The sequence below is a fragment of the Homo sapiens genome, chromosome 17, assembly GCF_000001405.40.
Source record: "Homo sapiens chromosome 17, GRCh38.p14 Primary Assembly".
NCBI classification, from domain to species: Eukaryota; Metazoa; Chordata; class Mammalia; order Primates; family Hominidae; genus Homo; species Homo sapiens.
The window spans coordinates 285,561-298,668 of NC_000017.11; the positions used below are offsets into that span (position 1 = coordinate 285,561).

The 13,108-nt window shown below is 56.7% G+C and overlaps 1 protein-coding gene across 4 annotated transcripts in view, besides 1 other annotated feature; it reads right to left on the minus strand.

Moving 5' to 3' along the window:
• RPH3AL (rabphilin 3A like (without C2 domains)) overlaps nucleotides 1-13,108 on the minus strand; it is a 140,419-nt gene that overhangs the window by 73,172 nt on the left and 54,139 nt on the right. The window lies entirely within an intron of this gene.
• Nucleotides 724-1,245: an enhancer, noted in NCBI's record as "H3K4me1 hESC enhancer chr17:136075-136596 (GRCh37/hg19 assembly coordinates)". NCBI's record gives its function as "activates a minimal SCP1, AML or CMV promoter by ChIP-STARR-seq in naive H9 embryonic stem cells {active_cell/tissue: H9 hESC(naive)}" and the evidence as "EXISTENCE:reporter gene assay evidence [ECO:0000049][PMID:30033119]".

Here is a 13,108-nt window from a genome sequence, read left to right on the forward strand (position 1 = left end):
TGCAGGTGGCTATTTAAGTGCAAACTGATTGTGATGGAATAAAATGAAAAACAGCTCTGAGGTCACACTGACCCCATTTCAGGTACTCCGTGGCCTCACGTGGCCGGTGGCTACCGCAAGGGACAGCAGAGAAATACATTTTCATCCTCACCGTGAGGTTCTGCAGGACGGCGCTCGGCCAGAGGACCCTGCCCTCAGTCTCCCCACTCAACCTGCCAACAGCCTGCTCCCCTGCTCCCCTACAGCTTCCAATCAACCCGACTGATGCACTCATGTGCCTGCCCCTCAGCGCGGCTCTATCTCCACCCCCATCCCGTCTAGCGCTCACCTCCCCTGCGATTCACTAATCCACGTTACCATCACCCGCTGAGCACCCGTGAGGGGCACAGGCCTGGCGTGACAGGACACGGATGAACAGGGTGGGGCCCAGGCCCCACTGTGCACCCCGGGATGCCCTCAACACTTGCTCCGATGTCCCCCCGCCACTGCTGGGGGGGTGCTCGGCTGCCCTGTGGGGGGGTTTGAGGGACAAATGTGCACGTGTCTCACTGATGAAACAGTGCCGTGGGGGCAGGGAGAGAAGCCAGGAGAGTGTCCACGGAACTGAGTCCTGTCCTCTACTCACAGACCACGAGGACGCGGAGCCAACGGATCTGGGGACAGGAGCAGCGTGGACCAGTCGCCCTCCAGAGGTTGGGTGAAGGGCTGTCCCTGCTGGGCCCACGAACCTCTGCCTTCCCCTTAGGGTCTGGTGCTTCCTGCTCCCCAGATCGCGCCTCGGGCAGCCTGTTTTCCCGCTACCAACCAACGCTGGCGGCACCTGGGGTCAGTTCTCCACCTCAGCCATCCCCCTGCTGCTTCAGTGTCTCTGGCTGGCAGGGGGCAGGGGGCGTTCCTAAGAGGCGAGGGCTACGGAAAGACGACACGCTCCCACTCAAATAACACATAATTGCTGCTTTCGTAAATCTCAGATCAATAAGGCAGTCATGGGCCTCTTCCAATGGGCTCGGTCTTTGTTCCCAGGTTCCAATAAAGAAAACGAAACAGGTGGTATTTTTGAAAACCCATGCGACAGCGAGCAAGCCAGCCTCTACATCACCTTGGTGCAAACACAGCCCTTCACGATCTGTGTCTAGGACAGTCCCGGGGCCCAGGGGTGGCCACTCACTTCCCTGCCTGAGATGGGCTTCCTCGGAGTGGATTTGCCCAGGGCAAGCGAGTCCTGGCTTCCCGGGCTTGGCTGCCTCATGCACCCTGCAGCCTGGAACTGCGTCCGGGTGTTAAACGATGAAGCTTCTGGGCCTAACCCAGGGCAGAAGCCACACAACTCCAGGCTTTCAGACCTCGCACCCTCTCTCTCCACCGTCAGACCTCGCACCCTCTCTCTCCACCGTCAGACCTCGCACCCTCTCTCCACCGTCAGACCTCACACCCTCTCTCCACCGTCAGACCTCACACCCTCTCTCCACCGTCAGACCTCACTCCCTCTCTCTCCACCGTCAGACCTCACTCCCTCTCTCCACCGTCAGACCTCGCACCCTCTCTCCACCGTCAGACCTCACACCCTCTCTCCACCGTCAGACCTCACACCCTCTCTCCACCGTCAGACCTCGCACCCTCTCTCTCCACCGTCAGACCTCGCACCCTCTCTCTCCACCGTCAGACCTCGCACCCTCTCTCTCCACCGACAGACCTCGCACCCTCTCTCTCCACCGTCAGACCTCACACCCTCTCTCCACCGTCAGACCTCACACCCTCTCTCCACCGTCAGACCTCACACCCTCTCTCCACCGTCAGACCTCACTCCCTCTCTCTCCACCGTCAGACCTCACTCCCTCTCTCCACCGTCAGACCTCGCACCCTCTCTCCACCGTCAGACCTCACACCCTCTCTCCACCGTCAGACCTCACACCCTCTCTCCACCGTCAGACCTCACTCCCTCTCTCTCCACCGTCAGACCTCACTCCCTCTCTCCACCGTCAGACCTCGCACCCTCTCTCCACCGTCAGACCTCGCACCCTCTCTCCACCGTCAGACCTCACACCCTCTCTCCACCGTCAGACCTCACACCCTCTCTCCACCGTCAGACCTCGCACCCTCTCTCTCCACCGTCAGAGCTCGCACCCTCTCTCTCCACCGTCAGACCTCGCACCCTCTCTCTCCACCGACAGACCTCGCACCCTCTCTCTCCACCGACAGACCTCGCACTCTCTCTCCACCGACAGACCTCGCACGCTCTCTCTCCACCGTCAGACCTCACACTCTCTCTCCACCGTCAGACCTCACTCCCTCTCTCCACCGACAGACCTCACACTCTCTCTCCACCGACAGAGCTCACACTCTCTCTCCACCGTCAGACCTCACTCTCTCTCTCCACCGTCAGACCTCCCACCCTCTCTCCACCGTCAGACCTCGCACCCTCTCTCTCCACCGTCAGACCTCACACCCTCTCTCCACCGTCAGACCTCACTCCCTCTCTCCACCGTCAGACCTCACTCCGTCTCTCCACCGTCAGACCTCGCACCCTCTCTCTCCACCGTCAGACCTCACACCCTCTCTCCACCGTCAGACCTCACTCCCTCTCTCCACCGTCAGACCTCACTCCCTCTCTCCACCGTCAGACCTCGCACCCTCTCTCCACCGTCAGACCTCGCACCCTCTCTCTCCACCGTCAGGCCTCACACCCTCTCTCCACCGTCAGACCTCACACCCTCTCTCCACCGTCAGACCTCACACCCTCTCTCCACCGTCAGACCTCACTCCCTCTCTCTCCACCGTCAGACCTCACTCCCTCTCTCCACCGTCAGACCTCGCACCCTCTCTCCACCGTCAGACCTCACACCCTCTCTCCACCGTCAGACCTCGCACCCTCTCTCTCCACCGTCAGACCTCGCACCCTCTCTCCACCGTCAGACCTCACACCCTCTCTCCACCGTCAGACCTCGCACCCTCTCTCTCCACCGTCAGACCTCGCACCCTCTCTCTCCACCGTCAGACCTCGCACCCTCTCTCTCCACCGTCAGACCTCACACCCTCTCTCCACCGTCAGACCTCGCACCCTCTCTCTCCACCGTCAGACCTCGCACCCTCTCTCTCCACCGTCAGACCTCGCACCCTCTCTCTCCACCGTCAGACCTCGCACCCTCTCTCTCCACCGTCAGACCTCGCACCCTCTCTCTCCACCGTCAGACCTCGCACCCTCTCTCCACCGTCAGACCTCGCACCCTCTCTCCACCGTCAGACCTCGCACCCTCTCTCCACCGTCAGACCTCGCACCCTCTCTCCACCGTCAGACCTCGCACCCTCTCTCTCCACCGTCAGACCTCACTCCCTCTCTCTCCACCGTCAGACCTCACTCCCTCTCTCCCGGCCGTCAGACCTCGCACCCTCTCTCCCCACTCCTGTCTCAGTCCCTCCATGTGCTTCTTTTGCAAAGAAATGTATATTCTCTCTACCCCCAAGAACACAGGGGAGGGGGTTCCCCAGGGACCTGCCCACGGGACACAGGCTTTGGGGCAGGAGAGAGCAGGGTGTGCCGTTTAGAGGTGAACTTGGACTCGGTACTCGCCTTCTGAGCCTCACTTCCTCATCTGTAAGTTGGTGGTAACAGGCCCCCCCACACCCCAGGTTGCAGATGAGGGGATCAAGGGAGACGGTCATGAAAGTGCTCAGCACCATAAAAGGTTAGGTAGGCGGCAACCTCAGACCTTTATAGCCATGCCTGTCTCAGTGAAGGCAGCCAGCATCCATCAGTCACACAAGCCACAACCCAGCACTCATCCTGGGCCCCCATCGTCCCTCCTTCCTGCCCAGATAATCCATCTCCAAGAACTCAAATCTCTCTCCAACCTCTCAATTCCCCTTCAGCCCCGTCCCTGATCTCTGCTGCCACCGCCCACGCCCACACCAAGGCCGCCCAGCAGATCTCTCTACCCCACCGCGCTGTCCTCCAGCTGGTTCCCGACATGGCAGCCAGGCCGATTTTCTCAAGAGGCAAATCTAATCATGTCACCTCTCCCATCCCTCCCAACTTAAAAGCCATCAGAGGCTTCCCGCTGCTCTGGGGTGACCACCGCCTCACTTCATACGGCATTCGGGCCGGCCCTGCCTCCTGCTCTACTTCCTCAGCCCCGACCCTCTGAGCTCCAGCCGTGTGGGCCGTTTGTCAGCCCCTGGTCCTTCTGCCACAGGACCTTTGCACGTGTTGCCCCCTCTGTGTGGCCACGCTGTCTCTTCATTAACCTACACACCCCTCGGACCTCAGCAAAAGCACCACATCTTCAAGGAAGACTTCCGCAACACTCCTTCCACAATGAGAGCCTCCAGAATGGGCTCCTGCCTCTTCTCCGCTGTCAAGGTTGTGATTTTACCCTCCGCTGTGTGGCTGCAGGGCTCCTGTGACTTCCCCTGCTGGGCCGTCATCTTCCCAAGGGCAGAGGCCACGTCTATTTCTGTTCACCCTCCTGCTCCCTGTGCCCGGCACAGTGACTATTTGCAGAAGAACGGATTGAACAAATGGAAGCTACTTAAGATATTACAGTTGAAAAAGCAAGACAGGCTCCCTCCCGGAACATGCCGACCTGCCGGGAAGACAAGCTGCACGGAGGCGTGAAGGCACTCGCTCAGCGACACGAGGCAGGGTCCAATCACGTCCACATTGAGTGATGCTGACCAGCAGGATTGTGGGAGGCCAAACCAGGGAGAGCCACACAGCGGGCAAGTGTCCGAGGAGGTGGGGTGGTGGCCAGGTGGGCCTCAGTCTCAGGGTATGGAGCATAAACCCAGGCTGGCCCGGCCACAGGGGAAATGACTCCGGGAATCCTTCACTGAGGGTGGGAAGCGGGGATGTTTACCAGACCATTCCCATGACGGCTCCTGCCTGCCTCCCCCGGGGTGCGTGCCGCGGCCGCCTATGTGTGCAGACCCGTCCCAAGGCCTGATCAGGCACCTTCCTCAATGTCCTTCTTATCCAGGGCCACTTCAGTGACATTTCTGCTTCCTGCGACTCCCCGTCCCACCCCTTCTCCTTCCCAGATGGCACCCAAGAGTCACAATGCGACAGAAGGTTCTGCTGGGCCACTCCAAAGTTCAGGTACTTCATGCCCAGGCTGGCCTTTGAGTCCTCACCGATCCATTTCATGATGAGGAATTCCACCACGCTCCCGCAGATCAGAAGACGGGAAGGGGCTTAGTGCCAATGTAGGGGGAGGGAAGGAAACTGCTCTGAAAGCAGACGCCGCCATCTCACAGCACCCGCGGTCTGGAGTCAGTCACTGGCAGCCTCACACTCCTGGACGGGCCGGGACAGCTTCACAGCGTCACCATCCATGGCACAGAGAGGGCTGTTCATGAGCCTCACTCGACCGAAAAGGGTGAAACTGCGCTCAAACGTCCTGTACAAGGAGGCCTGGACCATCCATGGCACAGAGAGGGCTGTTCATGAGCCTCACTCGACCGAAACGGGTGAAACTGCCCTCAAACGTTGCGTACAAGGAGGCCTGGAAAACGTACGCTGTGCTGTGGAGATGAACACTGAAGATGGCTGGTTTAAACGTGTGGAGCTTCAATTCACAAACATGTTTTCTATACTGTAGGGAAGGCATTATTCTAAGAATGCCGAAAACAAACAAGACACGGCCCTTTGTCCTCAAAGAGTGTCCCATTGAACGGAGTAGTTTATCCATTAGCAAAACTCAGGGCCAGGTGCGGTGGATCCTGCCTGCAATCCCAGTGCTTTGGGAGGCCGAGGTGGGGGGATTTCTTGAGGCCAGAAGTTCAAGACCAGCCTGGGCAACACAATGAGACTCCCCCACCCCCCATCTCATTTTAAAAAATAATAAAATAAAATAGCAATCTTTTATCTGGAAAATTACTTTCCTGAGAGTTCCAGTGAGTTGAAATCGGCAGGTGAGCTGGTTTCTCATTGGGAACCGCGCTGCAGACGGTGCTTACAGAGGGGTCATCCCCCTGCCCCGATAAAATAGGATAAGAAATAGCTACGTCTGAATGGCCTCGGTGCATGCACAAAGCAGCATAATGAGAGCCTCCACGTGTGTGTTTCATGCCACACAATGTGCTCCTGATGCCAGAAACCAAATCTTCAAAAGGGAAAATCTTACTAGGTTTAGGGGAGAGCTTTGCAGCAACAAAGACGATGATGATGTAAATAGAAAAGTGACGAAATGACAACGAAGCTGTGTGGGGCAATATTCACCATAAGCTGTTAAGTTAAAAAAAGCACGTTGGAAACAGTCTGCATAGCAGGGCGCTCCACCACGTAAATATGTAGATGTGCCTACATCTATGGAGGAGTCTATATATACACAGAGGACAATCTAGAAAGATATCAGCCCAAATGGAAATCAAACTGTGCAAAGTCAAAATCTATTTTAAATGGATAAGCAGAATTCCTATTTAAAGGAAGCTTATGCTAAATGCTTTGGAAAGTCACTTGCCCCAACTTCATTTTTTGACCAGGTCTGGATTTTTGCAGGTCAGGATGGATTAAAGCAGCTGAAAGTGTCCACGCAGACAGGCAGGAGACAGCCACAGTGGCTGACTGTGGCTCAATTGTAATCAGGCCTGTGCACCCCCACAGCGGGTCCCAGATGGTGTCCCCGGGTCACCGGCCCCTCCGATCATAAGCTCAGCCCTGCTCAGCCCCTGAAGTGCCATCCGCCAGGCTTGGAGAAGCATCACCTGCCCCAGTGGGCCAGCAGCGGAAAGGCTGGATACAGCTCTGTTGCTATAGACGCTGTCTGGAACCCAGGCCCTGCTGCCAAATGACTTTAAACGTATAGACAGTTCAGATATTGATGTATATAATTACAAATATTTATATACTTTCTCGGGTACTTATGCTTACACTAGGCACCAAGCTAGCTGTTTTATGCAGAATCTCATTTAATTTTCAAAACAGCCCTATGGGGTGGGTATGACTGTTCCTGTTTTACACAAGGGATCTGAGACTTGAGGTTAAGCAGCTCGACGTGGGGACCTGGGATGCGAACCCTGTTCAGTCTGAGCCTCGGTCCCGGGCTCCTGCTGCCCCAGCCGGGCCTGGCTGCCTGGCTAGCACACTCTTGCAGGCCCTCATCCTCCCGCCTGGACCCAACTTCACCCTCCCCACCCCGAGGTAAGGCAAGGCTGGATCCCTGGGCCCTCTCCTCTTCCAGAACGACAGATGAGGTCAAGCTTCAAGTGGGAGGGGCACAGCCAGGCCCCTCTTCCCATTCGTTAGGACACAGCCCGGGGGCCAGCAGCGCTGGGAGCACGCCGAGCCCTGGACCTTACCCCGACTACCCACAAATACCAAGTCACAGAAGGCCCCAAGGAGGCACAGCCTTAATGCCAGCCACCTGCTGCCGGGTCTGAGACAGAAGCCAGAGGCAAGTGGAGAAACATTTCAGGAGGAAGGCAAGTCTCCCTGGACTTCCCACCCCACGTCCTCCATCCTGGCTGCTGGCGGCTCCCAGGGGAACCAGCCACTCAGGGCCGAGCCGCCTCTCTTTACCAAGGCTTCCGGCAGGCCCTTCCCCTCCATCGGAAGAGCCTCTGACATGGCCTGGGGACCACCTGCGAGCCTCAGGCCTGTGCCAGCCCCCAGCCACCTCTCCCAGTTGAAAGCAAGCACCATCATTTCCTGTGGCTTTCAAGCTCGGCTTCCAAAACACCAAACACCTCCTCCCTCCGCCTGCCACTCATGCAGTTACCACTGCGTCCCGAGTGGAGAGGAGGGTTAAAAAAGGCAACAGCATCAGCTGTTGACTATTAACATTCACAGAGCACATAATAAGAAATCATGACTTGGACGGGGCTTCGGATCATTTCTGCACTCGTGCCTCTGCGAGTGTCAGTCTCAGGGAAATCGGGGTATTCAGACGAGATGAAGCCGCCAGGATGGCTGGGGGCCGGGGCTCCGGGGGTGGGGCAGCGGGGTCCAGGGGCCTCAGTTAACCCCTTCCCGGTCCTGGTTAACCTCTGCATCCCCTCAGTCCCAGAGAGGTTTCTGCATCTTTTCCGGCAGGACACGGGAAACAGGAGGTTTGAGCCATCGAGAACTGGGCTGAGGGCCGTGCAGCACCGGTGATGGGAGCACGGTGCACTCAACAGGAGCTTCGGCCAAGGGGTGGATGGGATGGCTAAATCAGAAGGTGGGAGGAGGGTTTTTAAAAACCAGCAAATCTGGTCGGGCGCGGTGGCTCACGCCTGTAATCCCAGCAATTTGGGAGGCTGAGGTGGGCGGATCGCCTGAGGTCAGGAGTTCAACACCAACCTGGCCAACAAGGCGAAACCCCGTCTCTACTAAAAATACAAAAATTAGCCGGGCGCGGTGGTACTCACCCGGAATCCCAGCTACTTGGTGGCTGAGGTAGGAGAACTGCTTGAAACCAGAAGTCGGAAGTTGCAGTGAGCTGAGATTGCACCACTGCATTACAGCCTGGGTGACAGAGCAAGACTCGGTCTCAAAAAAATAAAATAAAAATAAAACCCAGCAAATCTAATAATGTTCAATCAAAGGGGAAAGCACAGGACGTGGGGCTTGGTCTCCAGGGGTTCCTGAGTTCATTCAGCATCTGTGGAGGACACAGTGGTGCCAGGTACGAGCCCAGTGTGAGGTGTGAGGTGTGAGGAGTGCTGATGGGATGAAGAGACGTACAAACGCCAGCATGGGATGGACCACTTGAGCCCAGGTGATCAAGACCAGCCTGGGCAACATAGCAAGACCCCGTCTCTACAAAAAAAAAAATACAAAAATTAGCCGAGCATGCTGGTGCACACCTGCAGTCACAGCTACTTGGAAGAATCGTTTGAGCTCAGAAGGTCGAGGCTGCAGTGAGTTGTGATTGCACCACAGCACTGCAGCCTGGGTGACAGAGTGAGACCCAGACTCGAATTTTAAAAAGGCCAACCTGAGTGGACACAGCATTAAGTCTGACCAGGACTGAAGAACACCTGTGCAGAAATGGACGGCAGAGGGAATGCACATCAGTGTGGGAGGGACAGAGGAGCTGCAGAAATGGATGGACAGAGGGAATGCACATCAGTGTGGGAGGGACACAGATGCTGCAGAAATGGACAGCAGAGGGAATGCACACAGTGTGGGAGGGACAGAGATGCTGCAGAAATGGACGGGCAGAGGGAATGCACATCAGTGTGGGAAGGACAGAAGAGCTGCAGAAATGGACGGGCAGAGGGAATGCACATCAGTGTGGGAGGGACAGAGGGAATGCACATCAGTGTGGGAGGGACAGAGGAGCTGCAGAAATGGATGGACAGAGGGAATGCACATCAGTGTGGGAGGGACAGAGATGCTGCAGAAATGGACAGCAGAGGGAATGCACATCAGTGTGGGAGGGACAGAGATGCTGCAGAAATGGATGGACAGAGGGAATGCACATCAGTGTGGGAGGGACACAGATGCTGTAGAAATGGAAAGCAGAGGGAATGCACATCAGTGTGGGAGGGACAGAGATGCTGCAGAAATGGACGGGCAGAGGGAATGCACATCAGTGTGGGAAGGACAGAGGAGCTGCAGAAATGGACGGGCAGAGGGAATGCACATCAGTGTGGGAGGGACAGAGGGAATGCACATCAGTGTGGGAGGGACAGAGGAGCTGCAGAAATGGATGGACAGAGGGAATGCACATCAGTGTGGGAGGGACACAGATGCTGCAGAAATGGACAGCAGAGGGAATGCACATCAGTGTGGGAGGGACAGAGATGCTGCAGAAATGGACGGGCAGAGGGAATGCACATCAGTGTGGGAGGGACAGAGGAGCTGCAGAAATGGACGGGCAGAGGGAATGCACATCAGTGTGGGAGGGACAGAGGAGCTGCAGAAATGGATGGACAGAGGGAATGCACATCAGTGTGGGAGGGACAGAGGAGCTGCAGAAATGGATGGACAGAGGGAATGCACATCAGTGTGGGAGGGACACAGATGCTGCAGAAATGGAAAGCAGAGGGAATGCACATCAGTGTGGGAGGGACAGAGGAGCTGCAGAAATGGATGGGCAGAGGGAATGCACATCAGTGTGGGAGGGACAGAGGAGCTGCAGAAATGGACAGCAGAGGGAATGCACATCAGTGTGGGAGGGACACAGATGCTGCAGAAATGGATGGACAGAGGGAATGCACATCAGTGTGGGAGGGACACAGATGCTGCAGAAATGGAAAGCAGAGGGAATGCACATCAGTGTGGGAGGGACAGAGGAGCTGCAGAAATGGACGGGCAGAGGGAATGCACATCAGTGTGGGAGGGACAGAGGAGCTGCAGAAATGGACAGCAGAGGGAATGCACATCAGTGTGGGAGGGACAGAGATGCTGCAGAAATGGATGGACAGAGGGAATGCACATCAGTGTGGGAGGGACACAGATGCTGCAGAAATGGAAAGCAGAGGGAATGCACATCAGTGTGGGAGGGACAGAGGAGCTGCAGAAATGGACGGGCAGAGGGAATGCACTTCAGTGTGGGAGGGACAGAGGAGCTGCAGAAATGGACGGGCAGAGGGAATACACATCAGTGTGGGAGGGACAGAGGAGCTGCAGAAATGGATGGACAGAGGGAATGCACATCAGTGTGGGAGGGACAGAGGAGCTGCAGACATGAACGGGCAGAGGGAATGCACATCGGTGTGGGAGGGACAGAGGAGCTGCAGAAATGGATGGACAGAGGGAATGCACATCAGTGTGGGAGGGACAGAGGAGCTGCAGAAATGGATGGACAGAGGGAATGCACATCAGTGTGGGAGGGACAGAGGAGCTGCAGAAATGGATGGACAGAGGGAATGCACATCAGTGTGGGAGGGACAGAGGAGCTGCAGAAATGGATGGACAGAGGGAATGCACATCAGTGTGGGAGGGACAGAGGAGCTGCAGACATGAACGGGCAGAGGGAATGCACATCGGTGTGGGAGGGACAGAGGAACTGTCCTCACGGGGCTGGAGGACACAGCCAGGAGCAGCTCCTGGACCAGCTCCACCTTGGTAATGAGATTCAGGATGTCAAGCCCAGAGGCCAGGCGAGTCCCTCACGAGCTCGTTTCCGCCGATGGCTCGCCATGGCCACCACCGGTTGCACCTTCACCTCTGAGGGGCTGTGGGGGCAGTCAGAACCCGCAGGGCCCAAAGACGGGCTGTTCAACGTCACGCCCGCTTTTTTCAAACACACAATATTGTTTTGAAACTTCAAGTCACATATGAAAAAAAGGGTGTGGAAGGGTTCTACGTGTATCAAAAGGGAGCCTGGGTTTTGAAACGTGGATCAATGCTGCTCTAACGTCCTGCCGGAGAAGGAAAAGGAACCCACCAGCTCCGCTCAGGAGGCCTCTTGGGGGTCTCCAGAATCATCCCCTTCAAGCATCCAAGGGGACAAGGCTGGGTCTCGTGGGGCATTGTGTGAGGACAAACCGTAACACCGATTTTCCCCAGGGGGTGAGTGAGGACTGGAAATCAACATGCATCCATAGCCACCCCTCTGCGGAGAGTTCCATCAGGAGCTCTGGAACACAACCCTCTCCAAGCCAACATGATGAAGACTCCACAAAAACCCAAGACGTCGGGGCTTGGGGCGATTCCAGATATAGCTGAACACGTGGAGGTTCTTGAGGGGAGGCCCCAGAGGGGATCCAACAGCCCCTCGCCTATCCCCACATGCCCCACCCAGGGCACCTCTCCCATCTGGCGGCTGCCTTGTTCATCTGTGCACTTTGTAATATCCTTCGTCATAAACCAGTCAACATAAGCAAAGTGTTTCTCTGCGAGTTCTGTGAGCCACTCTAGCAAATTATCGAACCCAAAGTATGGGTTGTGGGAACCCCGATTCACAGCCAGCTGCTCAGAAGTTCCAGAGGTCTGGACGTGTGACTGGCATCTGAGGCGGGGGACAGTCCTGGGACCGAGCCCTCGTCCTGTGGGATCTGATGCTACCTCCGGGTAGACAGCGTCTGAACTGAGCACAGCCCACTGGAGAATGTGCTGCGGATCGGGCGTGGGTGGGAGAAATCCACACACATCTTGGTGACCAGAGGTCCCAGGAGTGTGCTGTGTTGAGTAACTGTAAGAGAATAGGAAAAACCACTTTGCTTGGTGTTTTCCTCTATTTTCAGAGCCTGATGCCCAAGACACTGAAGTCCTGTGCTTCCGGAAGGCTTAAAACCTCCCAGGAGGGTGAGGCAGCAGCCTCGGTCCTCTCTCCACCATCCCCTTCCCTAGAATCTGGTGAAGAGCAAGGTTGGTCACAGGTCAGGGCTGATGTTGCCAAGGGCATTCCGCAAACACTTGTAAGTCCCCGTTACTCCCGGGCCCTGGACTAGCCAGCGGACAGGGAGGCTTCACGAGCTGATGGGGAGAGAGGCAAGAAAATGACACACGGACGAACATGCAAACTTCCCTCCCTGGCCCCCACCTCTCTCTAGTCCTGTCCCCACCGGCCTTGCCAAGCCCACCACGCCAGCCCCACACTTTGCTGTCCTCTCCCAACCCTCTAGCCACCTCTCTGCCTCCGTGCCCTGTGGCTCACACCTGGCAAACTTCTACACATCCTTCAGGAACCCTGACATTTCCTCCTCCATGACCCAGTGCCAGGGTCCACCAGAAACTGAGTCAGCACAGACCACCCAGCCAAAGTCAGGAGACCGTCCACGTCCTCCAGCTCTGCCCCCACCAGCTCAGTGTGGGGTGCTGGGGCCCCTCAGTAGCCCTCCCCCGACCCCAATCTCAGGGGTAGAGCACCGGCCTCTCTGATGTTCCAGGATTATCATAACTCTTAAAAGGTCAGTCCGTAAAAATACCCTCTCCCTTCCCTGTGTTCGTTCCCATGCCTGGGATACAGTCAACAGTCTCCAAGCCAGGCTGGGCACGGTGGCTCACCCCTGTAATCCTGGCATTTTGGGAGGCTGAAGTGGGCAGATCACTTGAGGTCAGGAGTTTGAGACCAGCCTGGTCAATACAGCGAAACCCCATCTCTACTAAAAATACAAAAAAAAAAAAATTAGCCAGGCATGGAGGCACACTCCTGTAGCCCTAGCTACTCGGGAGGCTGAGGCAGGAGAATCACTTGAACCCGGGAGGCGGAGGTTGCAGTGAGCCGAGATCAGGCCACTG